The 20,480-nt window shown below is 38.0% G+C and overlaps 1 long non-coding RNA gene across 1 annotated transcript in view; it reads right to left on the reverse strand.

The window, feature by feature from the left end:
- Positions 1 to 4,208: 4,208 nt before the first annotated feature.
- Positions 4,209 to 20,480, reverse strand: part of LOC101928438 (uncharacterized) — a 234,104-nt gene continuing 217,832 nt past the window's right edge. Inside the window, exons 4-7 of the long non-coding RNA NR_109802.1 lie at positions 14,613 to 14,710; positions 6,848 to 7,009; positions 5,308 to 5,407; positions 4,209 to 5,073 (exon numbers count right to left, since the gene is read on the reverse strand). This is a non-coding gene — a long non-coding RNA (uncharacterized LOC101928438). The remainder of the gene's footprint in view (positions 5,074 to 5,307; positions 5,408 to 6,847; positions 7,010 to 14,612; positions 14,711 to 20,480) is intronic.

A 20,480-nucleotide genomic window follows, 5' to 3' on the forward strand; every position in this document is an offset into this window, starting at 1 on the left:
GGGACACTGAGAGACCAGGGGGCCTCGGGGGTGGGAGGTAGGGGGTTGAGTTAATGGAACTTGCTTGTAGAAGACAGAAGGGTGGTCAATTATTTATTTTCCTTAATAAAATTATATTACACCCCATATCTTTGTAAGTTAGAGGTAGATGATGGCTTACTGAACTGTCTGTGCAGAGATGTGCCCAGGTCTTCAGATGGAAGTTTGAGCCTCAAATGACACACCCTTGAGGCCTATTGTGCCTTGGGCATCTCTAGCTCAGGGATGCTAATACTTTTTCTAATAGAATGTTAATAATTAAGGAACAAAGACATCCATCCTAAGTAGTGTGGTTGTTCCAGATATAGCAAAACTATGTATCTTGCTATATTGCTTTTGCTTTGTTTTTTTCTTTAATAAACCTTTGTTTGTTGAGTATGTACTATGCTGGTGCAGGCATTGTACTAAATGTTTTGCATGTATTGTATAATTTAAAACAAATGTAGCAAAATGGGGGGGAGCTGTTTTTATATTCCCCCTTGGAACACCTCTTGGGAAGAAAGCAAGTACAATTGCAAGCAATATTTTGATAGAGAATTTGAAGTGAGAGATGAGACCCCAAAAATCATAGTGAAGTAACATCAGATGACTGCTAAAAAAAATTTTCTGATAGACAAGTGGATGCCCATTTAATGGCAAGGCTTCTGAACTGCTGAGCAGCAACATGACCATGGGCTGTGCAATGGTGTGGAAGTTTGGAGCAGGACTGAATTGTTCATAAATAATAGAAGAGAAGCTGAGGACAGCTTTCAGGAGGGATATTGGGGATTGTGAAAGTCCCACTGTAGGACATGTGATAAAACATTCTCCATCTCCCCTAGGAAATCACCGGAAAACTCTTTCTTATTCCCTAATGCTCTTGGGAGATGAAGATTTTTTGGCAAGATAGAAAGAAAATCTGAGGTCAGCAAAGTCAGCAGACATAGGAGACAGCCATAAATCTGGGTGACATTTAATTCACAACCCAAGGAGGCAAAAGATATTACCCTAATTTTACAGGTAAGGAAATCAAGGCTTGGACAAGTCTGTTGTCCAAAACACACAGCTGGAGTGGCTGGACAGCCATTCGAACAGGTTTGCTTGTTTCCAAAGACTATAATTTTAACCCTAGAAGGTACTTCCCTCTACGATTCTATGACTGCTTCCTACTTATTAAAAGTTCAATAAGTTTGATGATGTCTTTGCCTAATTTTATTTTAAGCCACATTAATAACAGAAAACATCATTGTACATAGCATGGAAAGAAGGAGTGCTTCTAGCCATGGGGTATAAATAGCTAACTGATCTCCTGTCTTCAAAAAGGGACCAGAAGTGAAACTTCAGCAGGAGGAGTGACTGCACGTGAGGGAAGAGAGCAGCCTCTTTGCACACATGGGCACACACTGCCGAAAATGAGATTTGAGTTGTTGCTGCCATAATCTCCACAAACGCCCACCACAGAATGACATCACTGCCAAAGCCCAATTAGTTCAGAGAAGACCCTGGCACTGGATGATATTCCTTCAAGATGGCATGAAATTCCAAATATAAATTGGGTCCGCACTGGGCGATGATTCAAGAAATCGTATTGGCCAGTTCACAGGACTAGAAATCCTTTAGACAGGCTTTGGAAATTGTATCATTCCAGATACAGACAGAGGTATAGTTACAACTCAGACCTCTCAATAAACATCTAGAAAAAGAAATGCAGAGGTCCTCTGACAATGATGTGGTTATCATATCACGGATTACACTTACAGAAGATGGAGGAAAAGTTTATCGAGATGCATCGTCTTCCTAAGCTGCCTTATCTTTTCAGGAAAACAACTGTCAAACATTTAAAATAGTAAGAAATCTCCACATTTGAATTGCTCTCTACAATTTGCTTGCATGTACTTAATTGGATCTTACCTCCACGACAACCCAGTAGGATCAATACAATTATTGTTGCTATTTTATAGATGAAAGCCTAAGGTTTAAGAGAGGTACATTTTGAAGGTTACTTGAGGGCAGAGATTTTGTATCCCAATTCTTTATGTCTTCAGCTTGTTTCCTAGGGCCTGACCTGTCACAGGATGCTACAAATGCCAACTCAATTGGATGGAATGGAACTGAGTGACCTGCCCAAGCCCAAAGGTCACAGCAACAGAACTCACAGCCCAGTGTTCCTTCCTACCTGATGTGCTGTCACATCATCAGTCTAATGCTTACCATGCACCTGTTTTGTGTCTGGGCATGTGAAAAACACTGGAAATCCAGGTGGGCTCCATGTAATCATGCAGATCCATGGAAGAGGGAGGTGGAAGAGAGAGCCAGAGAGACAATAGTGTGAGGAGGGGTTGGCTCATCATTGCTAGTTTTGAAACTGGAGGAAGGAGCCATGAGCCAAAGAATGCAGGCAGCCTCCAGAAAGTTAGAAAAGGCAAGGAAATGGATTTGGCTTACTGCCTTCGGAAAGGATACCACCCTCAGGCACTTGGACTGTAACCCAGTGGAACCCATTTTGGACTTCTGACCTCCATAACTGTAAGATATTATTGTATTGTTTAAGTCAGTGGTCCCCAACCTTTTTGGCACCAGGGACTGGTTTCATGGAAGACAATTTTTCCACAGACCAGAATGTGGGGGGATGGTATGGGGATGATTCAAGCACATTACATTTATTGTGCACTCTGTTTCTATTATTATTACATTTAATATATAATGAAATACACACACAACTCATTGTAATGTGACATCAGTGGGAACCCTGAGCTTGTTTTCCTGCAACTAGACAGTCCCATCTGAGGGTGATGGGAGACAGCAACAGATCATCAGGCATTAGATTCTCGTAAGGAGCATGCAAACTAGATCCCTCACATGTGCAGTTCGCAATAGGGTTAGTGCTCCTATGAGAATCTAATACCACTGCTGATCTGACAGGAGGTGGATCTCAGACTGTAATGCTCACCAGCCCACTGCTCACCTCCTGCTGTGGGGACTGGGGGTTGGGGATCCCTGGTGTAAATCACTCAATTTGTGGTACTCTGTTACAGCAGCAATAGAAGTAGCAAAGTATAGGGTAGCAAAGGACTACTATGAGTCAAGAAGCATGATTCCTGCATGGATCAAAAACTGAGGGTTTTCATATCCTTCATTTTGTGTTTTACTTCCAAACATTTGCACTAAGAAAACAATCAGAATTCTCATGAAGGTTTATATAAGAATTTTCATTTACAACATCAAAAAGTTCAATAACAAGGGATTAATACTCAGCCACACAACACAGTACTATGTGGCCATTAAAAAACACTTTCTTTGAAAAATATTCAATAGCTTGGGAAAAGCTGATGATCAAGTTTAAAAAACAGGTTACAAAATAATATATAATTCCAATTTTATAAATGTTGAAAGAAATATATCAGATGTTAATGATGAAATAAAAATTTAAGGTAATTTCTTAAAAAGGTAATGATGGTTACCTTTGTGGGGAAAGATTATGAGAGTTTCTTTGTTTCCTTATACATTTCCATATCTTTCAGAAATGAGCATGAATTACTTTTATAATCAGAAAAAGAAACAATTATGTTAAAAATAAAGCAAGCCCCTCAGGTAACAAGAGCCACAAAATTCATCAAGCCTTTGACTGAATAATCTCATTTATGAAAATATATCCTAAGGAAATAAAAGACAAAAAATCTTTTAAGTGAAAAGGTTTTTGCAGCAATGCTACTTACAATCATTTAAAATGGGAAGCAGCCTGACTATCCAGCAATTTAATTATGATCAAACAAATTATAATATATTTGCTTGATAGAATATTGTGCAGTCATAAAAATAATTAATACAAAGACTAGAAATACAAAAACTACAGAAACGTACAAAGTGAAAAACTGAAGCACAAAATGTAAAATATCTACAATTGTGATTATTCCACTTACGTGTGGATAAAGATAGAAAGAAGAGATAAAAATTATAAATAGGTGCTATGTCAAAGAAAAGGGATTCCAAGAGTAATTTGTATAAAGTTACTTCAATAGTAAATAGAACAATTTCATACAGAGATACACCAGCATATAAGTCAAGAAAACTGAGGATGGAAGACTGGTTGGGAGCACTGGAATTACAACAACAGAAGTAGAAGCAATATCTGTGAGAAAGGGCCCTGGAGACCACCCACACAGGGGCATATATTTTTATTTTTATTTATCAATTGAGCAAATATTTCTTAAGCCCCTTTCCTCACATATGAGTAAAACTGAAATGAAAAACAAGAAAATGACAAACACAAAACTTAGCGTTTGGGTTACTTTTGGGGAGCAAGGAGAAGGATTCCATTGACAAGGGAAACACAGAGACTTACATAAGGATTGACAATTTCTTAGTTTTTAAATTGGGTGGTGGGTACATGAATACTCTTTTTATTATTATTCTGATGTATTACAAGTACTTACAACCATGCTTGGCACATACTGGCTCACCGAAAAAGTTATTTGTAGAATGAATGAAGCTTTTCAGTGGCTCCTTAAATAAAACTCTGTCCTTTACTGTGGCATACAAAACCCTTCAAGAATTGGCTTCTATCAAACCTATAAATTAACACCAATGACTTCCCACCTAATCTATGGCAATTTCTGTTCATTATTCACCACACACACAGGACTCTTTGGTGCCTCTGAGTCTTTGTGTATGCTATTTCTTCTGCCTAGAATGTTTTTCTTCACCAGGAAAACCCTACTCTCAAGGCCAAGTTCACCATAGCTGCTTTGTGAAACCTTGTTGATCTCCCTAATTTCTTTCTCCTCTGCATTCCCATGGTACTTGCCTTATGTGCTGCATCAGAACCAGTAGTGTGTTAATCTATGATAACTCTTACATTGGTGCTATTGCTCACACCATCCTCTCAGCTCCATTATACTTGCAGTAACTGTGAATTAGACTTCTTTAATCCTCTCAACAGATGCAGAGGCTGTGTCCACAGGTCAGGTCAGATGACTCGCTGCATCCAAGTTGATAATAACAGCATAGGACTTGAATATTGGCCTTCAGATTCATGTGGCCTTTGAAGGGATGGGGCTGCCAGAGCAAGAAAGGACAGAAAGAGGCTGAGAGGCTAAAACTGAGGTCTCCAGTGATACAGTGAGCATATGTGAGACGAGAAAGGGCATTTTCATGAGAATTAGGATAGGCCATGAAGGTAAAAATCAGTACAGTTAAGGCATATAAGTTATACTTGTAAAGTAGAAGGTAGAATGGAATAAAAGGATGAGCACCAAAAAAAGTCAATGAATTCAAGAGAATAAATCCTACCTCTTACCAAGAAGGTCCAATATAGGAGACTAGTTTCTGTGGTCTCTAAAGTAAGAAACATATCCTATTTTTCTTTCATTTTGAGTTCCTAGAATACAGCCTGGCAACAAAAAGAGACTCAATATGTTGAATTAATGAATGAATGAAAGGATGTGTTACTAAGAAACACAATTAGTTTTTAGCTTTCTTACAACTATATCGTTTTAGCCACTTAGCCCTATTAGTCCAAGGTGACTGAACATTCATTTCTTTTGTATTTAATAATTTAGATCCTAAAATACTTTTGGGTTTGCTCAAAGCCCAAACAAAATATTAATTTGTTTGAACCAGTTAACATGTATTTAGGCAGTAAACTAGATTTGGAATGTGTTAGACAAGAGACACCTGCTCTATCTTTTGTAATATTCCTGACATTTAAGACATACACAACACCTGATTTGAAATATAAAAAAAAAAAAAAATCCTCATGCCAAAAAGTCACAGATCCAAAAACCTATACAACATGAAGCTTTGACTTGCCGTGAAGAGGTGGCTCTAATGAAGGTAAGACTAATGGAGCAAAAAAGACACTATTGGAAAACTCAAAGGCCCTTGAAACCATCCCATAGAACCCCAATGGCTGCCCACTTTTTAAGTCGATCCTATTATAGAAAGTCTGTTTTTGGAAGATTGGTCATTAGGCAAATAGGCATTCAGTGAATTTGTTTCCTCAAATTAATTCTTAGAGAACTGACCTTGGGCCATGGCTCTATATTGAGACTAGGCACTGTGTGCGGTTTCAAAGCCTGGCCTGTTGAGGCCATCAGTAATTCTTGACTGACCATGGTCCCAGGATATATATCAGGCAAAATACAGGTCTACATTCAGATACACTGATAAAAAGACAATGTTTGCAATAAGAATTGACTTAAAGAATGTGCCAAGAGGTGCCAATCATGGAAAGGACTAAGGGTCTTGCCCCAATTACTTCTCTCTGTGCCCCTTGTATGTTTTATCTTAGCCAGGGAAGGATGTGGACAGCAATTCCCATTAAAGAACCAGGGCTGGATCTCCCATTTGACAGTTCCCATATGCATTCACTCTGATGGACTTTGCCATCCCCTGACCCAAACCTCATTCATTCATTCAAAAAATATTTATCAAGTGTCTATACTCTGTTATAGGAGCTTGGAGATGCACTGGTGAACAAGACAAGCAAGGTCTGAGTTGTTACTAAGCTTACATTCTAGAAGGAGAAAACAGTAAGAAGGAAATATCAGTACCTAGAGAGGATGAAGCCCATGCAAGTCTTTGCTTCTGTAGTCCACAAGGTGTTTAGTCTTTATTCCATCATCTGGTGACACTAAACAAACACCTGCCATTAAACTAGACCAAACAGCAGACCTATTCAAACTCTCAGCAGTCCCTAGGAGAATTTGATTATAGGAAGTGGACCAGGAAGAATATCTCTATTTGGTCCAATTTCCAAATAGAAATTCGCAGTGTTTGATGAATAATGAATGTGAATAATTAATGCATCTGAGAAAGAAAAATTTCTTACCTGTCAGTTACTTATCTTGGAGATTACACATCCATCACTACTCCCCCGAGGGGCTAGACTCATCTCCATAGAAACTGGGGGCAATCTGAATGTTAATTATGCCTCAATGCCAGTTTTGCTGCTCAGAATGTGACTCACCAGAAGACCTTCTAGGACTTTGTTCTGAAAAGTAGAGAACTTAATTTATCTGACACATTTTTTAAAGCCCCAAATAAAGAAGTATCTTAATAAGCATAAGAAACTATCAAAAGTCTGGCTCTGTGTGTGCGCACATGTAGGAAAGTTACTGTGGTCTGAATGTCTGTGTTTCCCCCCAAATTCATGTGTTGAAACCTAATTCACAATGCAATAGTATTAAGACCTGGGGCTTTTGGGAAGTCATTAGGCCAGGAGGATGGAGTCCTCATGAATGAGATAGGTGCTCTTACAAAAGAGGCTTGAGGGAGATTGTTCACGCCTTCCACCATGTGAGGATGCAGCCAGAAGGCACTATCTGTGAGCCCTCACCAGTACCAAATCTGCTGACACCTTGATTTTGGACTTCCTAACCTCTAGAACTGTGAGCAATAAATTTCTGTTGTTTAAAAATTACTTAGTCTAAAGTATTTTGTTACAGCGCTCAAGCAGACTAAGACAAAAGGATTACACAGAAGCACATGCATCTTTTGGGAAAGAGATTGATGAGAAGAAATTCAGCTTTGATTTATTGGTAACATAAGTGCCAGCACCTAGAGAAATGACTAACATATTGTAGATGTTAACTGCATATTACTGTTATTTTTGAATGTTATGTGGAATGTTATTGAATGAACTACTAATTCTGTGCTGTGAGGATATAACAATTCTCATTTTTATGGCGACATTGTTCAAATGTCCCTTTTATATACATTCTACAAAATATCCTTTTTATATACATGACTTTATTTTTATATACATTATTTTATTTCATTTTATATACATCAAAAATGAGATAATAACATATTATTTGAAATAATAACATAATAATGAAATAGTAACAACCTAAAATACAGCTACAGGCCCACAATACCTTGTTCATAATTTTTTTCTAAAACTCTGAAAACCAAAAGTTCTGGGAAAACTCATGTAATGACAAAGCCTCTTCATAGTCTTTGTCCCATTTACTTGACTATGATACATTTTGATGCAGAAATAGTAACGTGTTTCGTTTTGAAGGGCTTCCCAGGTCTTACTTGGTTTGTTTCAATTTATGCATCATATGCAACATATTACCTTTCTAAAATCTAAAAAATTCTGAATTCCAAAACACATCTATCTGCAAGAATTTTGGTTAGACTCACATTGTCATCCCAATTTTATAATTGGGGTCCTTTGGTTCAGAAAAACTAAGCAATTTACTCAAGATCATGGAGCTTTTTGGTTCATGGATTGAACCAAAGTTCTCTGATGCAAAATCTTTTTTCTTCTACTATACCAGCACTTCAATTAATCTGCAATTGAGCATTGAGATAATTGTCTGTCTTATGAACATAAAAGGGCTAACGTTGGTCAGAGACTGTGCAGATTTAGTCATTGCAGTGGAGGCTGAGGAAGAACAAATTGCACAGGGCCTGGGGATGGGGGTGGGGTAGGGAGGTCTCATGTGGAGAAACCTCTGCTACCTGAAGGAAATGATTTCTAAAACTTAATCTCATTCTCCAGTGCTAAAGTGCGGTACATGAAGTAGGAGCTGACCAATGATCATTCTGTAGACATCTTGTGAATAAATTAGACGTAGATGCGACCTAAGATAGTACTATAATGCCACATCTATTTTTTCTAATCATGGGTTTTTTATTTGAAGTTGAGTGTTACCAGATCTCTTTTGTGGGGAGAGAGTAAGAGACTAAATTATAAGGTTGGCACTTGTATCAGTCAGGAAAATATAGGTTATGCTGTAGTAACAAATAACCCACAAAGCTCTGTGGCTTAAAACAGTAAAGATTTATTTCTTTTTTATGTAACATCCCTATCACAAGAAATTAGGGGAGGCTCCACTCATTGTAGCCACTCTGGGACTTGGGATGACAATGCAGCCACAATCTCACATATGGTTAGCTACACAACAGAAGGAAAGAGAATCAATAGCTTGCCCTGGCTCATTAAGGATCTGCCTGAGAGTGATACATTGTCACTTCCACTCAGTACAGTTCATTAGTCAAAATGAGTAATTGAGCCACACCTAACAGCAAGTGGGCAGGAAATACAAAATTCATGAATACTGAGATTTTCAATAAATTGGTCTGTCCAATAAATATTTCCTTGAGTGTCTGCTAGTGCCCAGCCCTGTTCTATGCACTAGAGATTAAAAATTGTGTTAAATGCCATGAAGAGAAAGAAAGCAGGATAAGGGGAATTGAGTGACAGGGCTGGGGAGGGAGAGGAGAAAACAAGGCCAGGGAAGAATTCTCTAAAGCAGAGACCCAGAAGAAAACAGAAGGAAGAGGCTGGGTAAGGGAGATTCTGCCTTTAAGGCAGAAACAAGACATCATGAACCCAAATCTCAGGAAAATCCAGAATGATTCTCAAAATAGAGACAGAGAGGTGAAACATCAACCAGTATGTACTGGTGGGGCTGAAACAGCCCAGCTCCTTTTCTTCCAGCCTTGTAAGACACGTCCCACTTCCTTCTTTTTCTGACTAAAACAACACATGTGACAGAACACTTCCTTTTTCCCCATGGTTAAGCAGCATGCAAAGGAGCTTTACTTCAGGAGAGAATGGCAATGGGCAATTGTTTGGTAAACAAATGATCCCCCATTTATTGAGCAAAATCTGTATTTCAGGTGTCTTAGTTGTTTTACATACTTTATTTCATTGAGTAGGGTTGTTGTAAAAAGGATAAATTATATAGGATTATTATTACCATTTTATAGATGAAAATATATGAAGAGAGGTAACTAACTTTCTGGGGTGGGGGTGAAACAGATATTTCATGGAAAAGGTAGACTCTGGCTCCCAAGCCTGTGCTCTCAATTACTATGAAACATAGCAAACTGTAGCCTTTTTGAAAGAAAAATTTGAGAAAATCCACATGTTCACCTGAATTGTTTCATAATTTAAAGATAGAATTGCCGCTATCACAGGAAGAAGGAACATTATCTAGACCTCTTTGCTAGATTATTCCTTTTCTGGAATAATAATAATTATTACTATAATTAATAATTATTATTTAGTATTATTCCTCTCCTGGAATAATAATCAGATTGAATTTATTTGCTTCCCATATTAATTATTTTTATTAATATATTTTCCTAGTATTAATTATTACTTAATAAATGTAAATTTTTGAGAGTGAGAATGTTTCAAAATGTGGGATCAATGGTAAAAATCAGATTGAATTTATTTGCTTCCCACCGCTAGAAAGTAAGCTCCACGAGTGTCCACTTTTTTCTCACTTTTATTCTCATGCCTTCCACCATAGAAAAGCACTTTACATACAATTAGTAATTATAAATGAATGGTTAGAATGAATGAATGAATGAATGAGTGAATGAGTGAATGAATGAATAGGATAATTCAGGAAAAGTTCTCTTACTTGAGCAGGAGATCTTAATCTGGGGTACATTAATGGACTTGGGGGTCTCTTTCAATGCCTTGAAATTACATGCAGTTTTGTGGGGAGAAGAGTGTGTTTGTGCATGTCATCAGATTTTCAAAGAAGGCAATAATCCACAAGAGTTAAAACCACTCTGTGTGGCATATTCATACAATGGAATATTATTCAGCTCTAAAAAGAAATAAAGTTCTATACATGCTACAACATGGATGAAGGTTGGAAACATTATGCTAAGGGAAAGAAGTCAGACACAAAAGACCCACATTCTGTATGATTCCACTAATATGAAATGCTCAGAAAAGGAAAATCCATAGACACACAAAGTCAACTGGCGGTTTGCCAGAGGCTAGAGGGGGAGTAGAGGGTAGAATGAGGAGCAATTGCTTAATAGGTATAGGATTTTATTTGGGGTGACGAAAATATTCTGGAACTAGATAGTGGTAATGGTTGCATAACACTGTGACTATATTAATAGCCCTGCATTTTACATCTTAAAATGGTAAGTTTAATGTGAATTTTACCACAAAGTTAATAATAATAAGAAAAAAATTAGTTTATGAATAAAGGAAAGAAGCAGAGTCAAATTATTTCATACATCTAACAGGATGGATGGTGGAATATGAGTCTGAGAAGTTGTCAGTTACAATCTAATATTCTAATAATATTTGGAATGAGAATATTTACAACACTAGGAGTAACAACTTTCATTTGTTTCAGGTTTTGCAGTTTTGAACAACTTTCCAAATGCATTATTTAATTTAACTGTTAGAAAAAAACTTGTGAGATAGCCAGGGTACATACAATTTCCTGATTATCTCTACTTTAAAAATGAGAATGATGAGGCTGAGAGAAGTTAAGTCATTTTCCTAAAGTCACATAGCTACCAAATGGTAAAATGAAACTCTAAACCCAGGTCTGCCTGTGCTTTTGACAATTTGGTTCCTCCAGCTCTTTTCAACCTTCCACATCTTTCCAGAAATCACAAGTGTTCCTGTGGTCGGCCTCCCCACCCAGGTGAGAGAAAATGTCACGTGTCTTCTCTTATGTCTGGAATGACATCATCTCAATGTGGTCACACTGGGTACCTCACTGTTATCAGAACTTCTGACTAGAAATTATAGAAATCTATGGTCAATGAAAATACTAGGAAAAGCTGCGTTTTTCTAATGTTAATTATTACTTAAGCAGTGTTTTTCCTAGTATTAATTTTTACTTAATAAATGTAAATTTTTGAGAGTGAGAATGTTTCAAAATGTGGGATCAATGGTAAAAAAAAAAAAAAAGTTTTTAAAGCTAGTGAATGAAACTACAGATCTTGTCCAACTTCCTCATCTTACCAATGAGAAAAATTGGCACAAAGAGGTTAGTGGCTTATCTGAGATGACACAGAGAGTTAGTGTCAGAGGTAAGAATGAAACTCAAGGCTTTTAAATGCTCAATAAAAGCACAAGGTAGCCAGCCTTCCAACAGAGTACCTCAGAAGAGATCATTTAGTCTGTGTATTTAGCAGTCCAAGAATAAGCTGACGTTTACTGTGAACACAGAAAGAATTAGGGATTCAGTGGTAATAAATGACCTAAATGTTTAAAATTGGCCTCAAATGAATCCATTTTCTACCTCTTGTTGTTTCCACTGTGCTGAAGCACAATGACGTAGTGACTTTATAATTTTAGCCAGGAGTGGCCAATTATCCAGAACTTGCCAGTCCTATTTTGTAAACACAGTTGGTAGCTGGGTGAATAATGCAGGGTTGTAGTGTCATTTTCAGGCACGGAGATACAGCCTTAGAGATCTTCCAGGCTGGGTTTCCCCAACCACAGTCAGCTGACTGCCAGGGAGGAATGTTTACTGCCCTGGGCAGGTGGGCAACTCCACCTTCCTCCTCAGAGAGACACTTTTGCTTGGCTCCCCTCCCCTCTGAGGTAGGGTGGAGGTGTGCAATCAATGTTTCCAAGAAACAGCATTAGCCATCTTGGGGGAGAAATGGGGGAGAATACTCAAAAGAAGACCTGTTAGAACAAAATTAATTTAGCAAAGCTCCTCAGTGTCTGCTTTGAGCTGGAAGGAAGATGTTCAAAATCATGTAAATTAAACCTTCACTCCCCCCATGAAGAAACTCAGGCCAGAGAATGGATGTGACTTGCCCAGAGTCACAAAGTCAGGATGTAGTAATCAAGGCCAGCCTGAGATCCTCCAAATTCCAGGCCAGTGCCTTCTCATACCTCTTCATATTCTCAGTCATTCTCTTTTAGATAAAATAACCATGATTCATAACACATCAATGCCACATTAGGCATTGAATATACTCCATATTCTGCATGATTCCTCAGATATATTTCGACTCATATGTGCAAGGTTAGGGGTTTTTGTCCTATGCACCCATATCTCTTAAGGACAAGTACAGGGCCTGTCTTGTAGTGTGTGATCTGTTTAATGGCAACATGGATGATACGGATGAGGCAGTGTTGGGTTATCTCGTGACACACCATCCTTTCCTTGGAGTGACAAGCCTTCTCTTGTTGTCCACTTTACATTCCTTTTTTCCACCTGTTGAAATTTTTCAAGCCCCAGTCAAAAGCTGCCTTCTGTTATCTCTAGTGGAAAGGAAACTGCCAAGACTCTGACATCAGACAGCCTTGGAGCTGGGTGCTACCTTGACTACTGCTAATGCATGACGCAGGCAAGTTACTTAAACTCTTTGAGGTTCCAAATAACCCATTGTCAAAGAGTTAATAATACTGACCTCATTCAATTTTCCTGTTGGAAAAAAAAAATGGGTAAAATTCCCAGCATAGCATGTGCCACATAATAGCTTCTGTTTTTAAAGAAGTTTTTAATTAACAAGTAAAAAATACATATATTTATGGTGTACAACATGTTTTGACATATGTATACATTGTGGAATGGCTAAATTAAACTAATTAACGTACACATTACCTCACCTACTTTTGTGGTGAGAATACTCAAAATCTACTCTGTTAGCAATGTTCCAGTACACAATATAGTCACCATGATGCACAATAGATCTCTTAACCTTATTCCTCCTGTCTAACTGAAATTCTGTGTCCTTTGACCAACATCTCCTCAATCTCTCTAACCCCAGTCTCTGGTGACCACCATTTTACTCTTGGTTTCTATGAGTTCAACATTTGTAGATTCCACATATAAGTGGGATCATATTGTGTTTGTCTTTCTGTGCCTGGCTTATTTCACTTAACATAATGTCCTCCATGTTTATTTCATTTTGTTACAAATGACAGCATTTCCTTCTTTTTTAAGGCTGAATAGTATTCTACTGTGCCTATACAGCACATTTTCTTTATCCATTCTTATGTTGATGGACACTTAGGTTGATTCCATGGCTTGGCTATTGTAAAGAGTGCTGCAGTGAATATGGAAGTGCAGATATCTCTTCAACACACTGATTTCATAGACTTTGTATATAAATTAACAGATGTTAATTCCCTTCACCCGGGAGAAGCCTTCCTCCTCAGGGTCCCATGGCTCTTTGCTTACTCTTCATGTGTTTATTATGCATCATTTCATAGGTTATCAATGACCTTGGAACACTTCTATCTTTCCACTAGAATATAAACTTTCTTAAGGGCATTACTAGGTCAGACAAATCTTTGCCTTTGCCCCACCAGGATTTCCTACAGCATCTAAAACAATGCCTAGCACAAATCTGACACACAAAATTTATTTTTGTAAAACTGGATGGTAGTGTCTGTGTGTGGTGGTGATGGGGCTGAGGGCATACTATAAAATACCTTTAAGAGTATTTGTCTGCAAATAACAGCCCTCTTCTGTTGTCTTATGTATTTCTGTATGTTATGTCTTCTATTTTTCCTCTAGGATTAGGTAGCTGGGTTCATCAGTGACACCCTTTCATTGCATGTGAGCATCTGAAGAGCTGACAGTCCCTCTGAGAGGGACCAAACTGCGTTTCTGTGTTGTCTCGTCATGCTCCCACCAAGAGGAAGTGGTATTTCAGGGACAGCAGATGACAGGGTGACATCACCCTTCTCCGTCAGTGCTCATTTCGTTTCTTCAATTTCAATGAAGACATGACAGAAAAGGTTGTTCCCTTATCATAGGGTGGCCTCTCTGTCTTATTTATTAGCGAAAATAAGGAAGGTTCCCCTTCACCCTGCCCTTCATTATAGAGCTTCCCATTTCAGTCCTTACCTTTTGGCCTGACTTTCTGGAAGAAGTAAAGGCCAGTAACTGAAACTCAAATATTATATTCATAGATCCTTCCTTCCATCATCCATCCATATCATAATCTAAAGGAATAAAAGAACTGTAAAATTTTTTAACAGAGTCAGGGTATTGAAGCTTATGCATTCCCAAGAAAACAATTAAGGTTAACAAGTATCTGTAAAGTATGATTACCAGGCAACATTTATGGAGCTTTTATTATGATCAAGTCACTGTCCTTTATGTTTGAGTATCTTGTCCGCTCCTCATCAAGCCCTATGTGGAGGGTAGTATCACTAGAGAGAGTAAGTAATCTGCCAAGATCCTGTGGCTAGTAAGGGGCAGGGCTGAGATTTAGACCTGTGTTTGTCTCAAGAGGCAGCATTCATAATAATTACCTATACTGTCTCACCCATCTGCACCTGTTGTAGTAACAGAATGCTCTCAACAATTATGTTACTGCTACTGGGGCAGCGTAACACACTCAAAGTCACTGAGTCATGAGTTAGTGATCTGGAGGTAAATAATTCATATCTCCCTCCCTCAAGAAGAAGCTAACAATTTTTTTAAAGTACATGCATATACAAACATATGTATCTACACACATGTATACATATGCATTCTATATATAGAGAATGCATGTGTGTACATATATATGATTATAATTATAATATAGAGTGACTTGATGCTGTATTTATGCTACAAACAAATGGCTATAGAAACTCCCAAGAGGCAGAAATAAGTTTTAAGTTGAAATCTGGGTAATGGAAAGAACTGAATATCTAATCTATACCAGAAGTTATTCTAGGTGCTTTCACATGGATGATCTTATATCATTTTACTTAACTACAAAATACCTCTGTGTGATAAGTGGGTAGTATTACCCCCATTTTACAGATGTGGAAAGCGGGTGCTCATATAATAAGAGCAAACACCTATTTAACACGTACTATATATTAGGCACTGTTGTAAACATTCTACATGAATTGATTCATTTAAACTGCATAACAGTTCAACTACACAGATGCAAAGATCGTTTTTAAGATGAGGAACCTGAGGTCTAGAGTGCTTAAGTCATTTACCCAGGGTTTTGTCACCAATAAGAGGTGACATCAGGTGGAGGGACTCCTGGGTCCTTGCTCTCAACCATTGTATTATTGCTGCTGAGGCAGAGTAACATGCTCAAAGTTACCAGCTGAAAGGCGCACAGCCAGGGTTTGGCTCCTGTCTGTCTGTCTGTAATAAAGACAATACTCTTTCTAAAAATTTGTTATAAAATATTTTATACCAGAAAAAGAGACTGGAAATGTAGGTTGGAGTAAAGTGCTCTAAATGCCATAGTAATGAGTGAGAACTCAGTCTATGTCAAGGGATGCCCTCAAAAGCATTTTGAGCAGAAAATCAAAATGCAATATATTTAAGTCTGCATTGAGGAAAAAAAACTAACTAGAATGTACAGAACAAATCAGATGGAGTGAGGCAGAAAATAACAAAACCTATTAGGAGGATGCTGCAATAGTCCCAGGAGACATGAGGAAGGTGTGATTAAGAAAAGGGTCACAGTAAACTGAGAATGGAGGGGGAGGGGTGTTCAAGACAATTTTTAGAGATGGCATTGGCAGGACTTATCCAACATGCAGAAGAGGTACAAGCCCAAGAAAAACCCAAAGTTTCTAACTTGAGTGATTAAGGCAAAGACGATGCTCTTAAATGGTTTGGGTAACACCGCAGGAGAAGAAATTTTAGTCATGTTGTGTTTCCAGTGCCTGTAAACCCCTTAGTGAAGCAAACCAGAAGATAGACATTACAAGAATTAAGAATTATTTAATATCCTAGTAAGAATCTAGTAAGAATTTAGTAAGAATTATTTAGTGTTCCAGTCTCTGGCTTCCTAAGAAACCTTTGGGGTTGAAGAAATGAATCTGATCTTTGGAAGCTGTTTTAGCTAATGAAGCAGCATATACAACCTGTGTTCTGCAACAGCACATACAAAGGATGTCATTAACAGGCATAGCGTCTCCTTAGCCACACCAATATGTCTTAGAACCTTCAAGTTAAAGGAAACAGGTGGTAAATTGTGCACACTTCCCCGAGTACCAGCTATAATTCCAAAATAAGATCTCTTCTTAAGAATTTCTGGCCAGGTGCAGTGGCTCACACCTGTAATCCCAGAACTTTGGGAGGCCGAGGCGGGTGGATCACCTGAGGTCAGGAGTGCAAGATCAGCCTGGCCAACATGGTGAAACCCCATCTCTACTAAAAATACAAAAAAATTAGCCGGGCATGGTAGCGTATACCTGTAATCCCAGCTACTCAGGAGGTTGATGCAGGAGAATCGCTTGAATCTGGGAGGTGGAGGTTGCAGTGAGTAGAGATCACACCATTGCTCTCCAGCCTGGGCAATAAGAGTGAAACTCCATCTCAAAAAAAAAAAAAAAAAAAGAATTTCTACTGACAGGAAAATGTTTGGGATATAGGATATAGTCAGGTTAAGTGAAAAAAGCAGAGAAGAAAAAATTAATAAAATGTTTTCCCAAAAAAGTTAACATATATGTACATGAATACACAGTCATGCATTGTGTAAAAATGTTTTGGTCAACAATGGATCGCATATACGACTGTAACGAGATTATAACGGAGCTTAAAAATTCCTATCGTCCAGTAATGTCTCAATTATCCTGACCCTGTGTAGACCTAAGCTAATGTGAGTACTTGTGTCTTAGTTTTTAACAAAAGAGTATAAAATGTAAAAACCAAAAAATATTTTAAATGAAAAAGCTGATATAATAAGGATATAAAGAAAGGAAATTTTGTACAGCTGTCCATGTGTTTGTGTTTTCAGCTGTTATTTCAAGAGTCATAAGTTTAAATAAATTACAAAGTTTATAAAGTAAAAAAGTTACACTAAGCTAAGGTTAATTTATTATTGAAGAAAGACCATTTAAAAAAATAAATTTACTGTAAGTGTACTTAGCCTAAGTTCACACTGTTTATAAAGTCTACAGTAGTGTACAGTAGTAGGCCTTCACATTCACTCACTACTCATGCAAGCTCCATTCATGATAAGTGCCCTGTAGAAGTGTACCATTTTTTATCTTTTATACAGTATTTTTACTGTAAATTTTCTATGTTTAGAATACAAATACTTACTATTGTGCTGCAATTGCCTACAGTATTCAGTTCAGTAACATGCTATACAGGTTTGTAGCCTAGGAGCAATGGTAGGTGTGTAATAGGCTATACCATCTTGTGTAAGTATACTCTATGATGTTCCCACAATGACAGAATTGCCCAAGGACACATTTCTCAGAACATGTCCCTGTTGTTAAGCCATGCATGACTGCATATACATAAATATACAATATATACTATATGTATACATATATTCATATACACATATATACTACACATAGAATAAACACTAGAGGAAATGTACCAAAATATTAACATAGGTCCTTTACTAAGTGATTATTTATTGAGCACCTATAATATACCAGGCATTGTGTAATTCATTAGATATGGTGAGAAAAAATGGACCTAGTTGCTGCCCTCATAGAGTTTACGGTTTAGGGGCTAAGCCTAAGATAAGAATTTAAAGACATTATACTTGGGAAACAGCCTGAGTCCAGAATCCTTTTGGTCTTTTATAGTTGGCTGAGTTCTTGCTTTCAGTCTTCTTGTTACTGTTCTGTAGGGATAAAGTAATGTGCCCAAAATTACCACCTAGAAAGGAGCAGAGCCAGGATTTGGATCATATCTGTTCGATACCAAATTGACACCAATTCTTTTAGTGACTCACCATTATCAAGTGTTTCTAAGACATTCAACTTAGTTTTCATAGAAATGATTCTCTTTTGGCAGGGCATGGTGGCTCAAGTCTGTAATCCTAGCACTTTGGGAGGCCAAGGCGGGTGGATCACGAGCTCAGGAGATCGAGATCATCCTGGCCAACACGGTGAAACCTCGTCTCTGCTAAAAAAAAAAACGCAAAAAATTAGCCGGGCATGGTGGCAGGCACCTGTAGTACCAGCTACTCAGGAGGCTGAGGCAGGAGAATGGTGTGAACCCAGGAGGCGGAGCTTGCAGTGAGCCGAGATCGCGCCACTGCACTCCAGCCTGGGCGACAGAGTGAGACTCTATCTGAAAAAAAAAAAAAAAAAAAAAAAAAAAAAGATTCTCTTTTGCACTCATATTTCATTTATTTAGATAGTATATAGTTAAATTCTACAATTACAACAACAAATATAATTGGCATTTCCATATTTGTGAATGAACACAAGTGATTCTTGGTGAGCAGGGACTCACCCAGGGTGGGCACAGGTGCCTGAGCCCACTGGCTGCCAGCATTCAGTGTGCCATGGGCATTGATTGGCATAATTTAAACAAGTAATCAAGAGTATATGTCAATCTAATAAGTCAAGTAAATGGAAATTGATTAAAAGAACATATACTGTGCCATATTTCTGGTCACACAACTTGAGATTGCCATAACATTAGGCAGTGAAATCATATTGATTTCCCTGTCAGCTGAAACATTATTTTCATCATTATTATATCTACCTCTAAGTCACAATTTAGTACTTGTTTAGGGCTGAGCTATCTGCCTCCCAAAATGTATATGCTGAAGTGCTTAACCCCTGGCACCTCAGAATATGACTCTATTTGGAGATATGACCTTTAAAGAGCCAATTAAGATAAAATAGGGTCACAAGAGTTTGGCCCTGATCCAATATGACTGGTGTTTTTATAAGAAGAAGAGATTACAAAACACACACATGCAGACTGAGGGGTGACCATGTGAGGACATAGCAAGAAGTTATTATCTACAAAGCCAAGTGAAGAGACTTAGAAGAAACCAAACCTACTGACACCTAGATCTTGGACTTCTAGCCTCTAAAACTGTGAGAAAATACACTTCTATTGTTTAAGCTATCCGATCTTTGTTATTTTCTTACGGCAGCCCTAGCAAACTAATACATTATCTCAATGACTGCCACATGTTCAGCATTCAAATATTGATTAAATGAATGAGTGATTAATAAGTATATCTTTCCCTCATCTTCGATTTTTGTAGTTGACTTTTTGGGATCCCTACTACAGAAACTAAAATAATAATAATAATAGTAATATGAAGAAGAAGAAGTATGTGTGTGCTCTAGTTATCCGCCAGTTCTGATATTTTAAGAATAGAGAGTATATCTTCTTTTTCATCCATTCCTAACTCTTGATTCTAGGACTAGGTAAAGGAGTTCCTATAAGTTCCAATTTAGGAACATGTTCAAATGATCAGAGTTAAAATCCCAGTGCTATTAGAACATAGCCAGTCCTCAACTGCTTCTTGAAAGCCTTAAATTTCCTTGTGCTGGGCAACTGAGTCTCTTGGGGCTTTGCTGAGGCCCCTGGTGCAACCAGACAAGGCTGGGATGTGAAACGGCCAAGAAAATTGTCAGGCAGCCAAGAAAACCTCCAAAGCCTTTGATATATAGCATATGAGGTCATGGGAACCAAGGCTGAACTTTCTCCCTCCATTCTCCCTAAGGACACGAATTAAGGTACCCAAAGAACCTGACACAGCACCTGGCTATGCTCTTAGCAACATAAGCACAAAACTAGGAATGGTAAATTACCTGGATTGCTAGTGCTCGCACAGAGTGGCAGAGCCCACCCAACCTTCGAGAGTCCCTGGCCCAGCCTTCTTGTTTTGAAAGGAAGGAAATTGAGGCCCAGAAAGGGGAAAGGTCTATCCCTGCTCTTGTCATCATCATTCATTAAGCCTTTGCAATATAAACCAAAGACAAAGTTAAACGCTTCAATCTTTTATATTGTTACTTTTTAAAGAGAATTTCCTCCCCAGCG

Source organism: Homo sapiens, chromosome 9 (genome assembly GCF_000001405.40).
Source record: "Homo sapiens chromosome 9, GRCh38.p14 Primary Assembly".
In the NCBI taxonomy this organism is placed as follows: domain Eukaryota; kingdom Metazoa; phylum Chordata; class Mammalia; order Primates; family Hominidae; genus Homo; species Homo sapiens.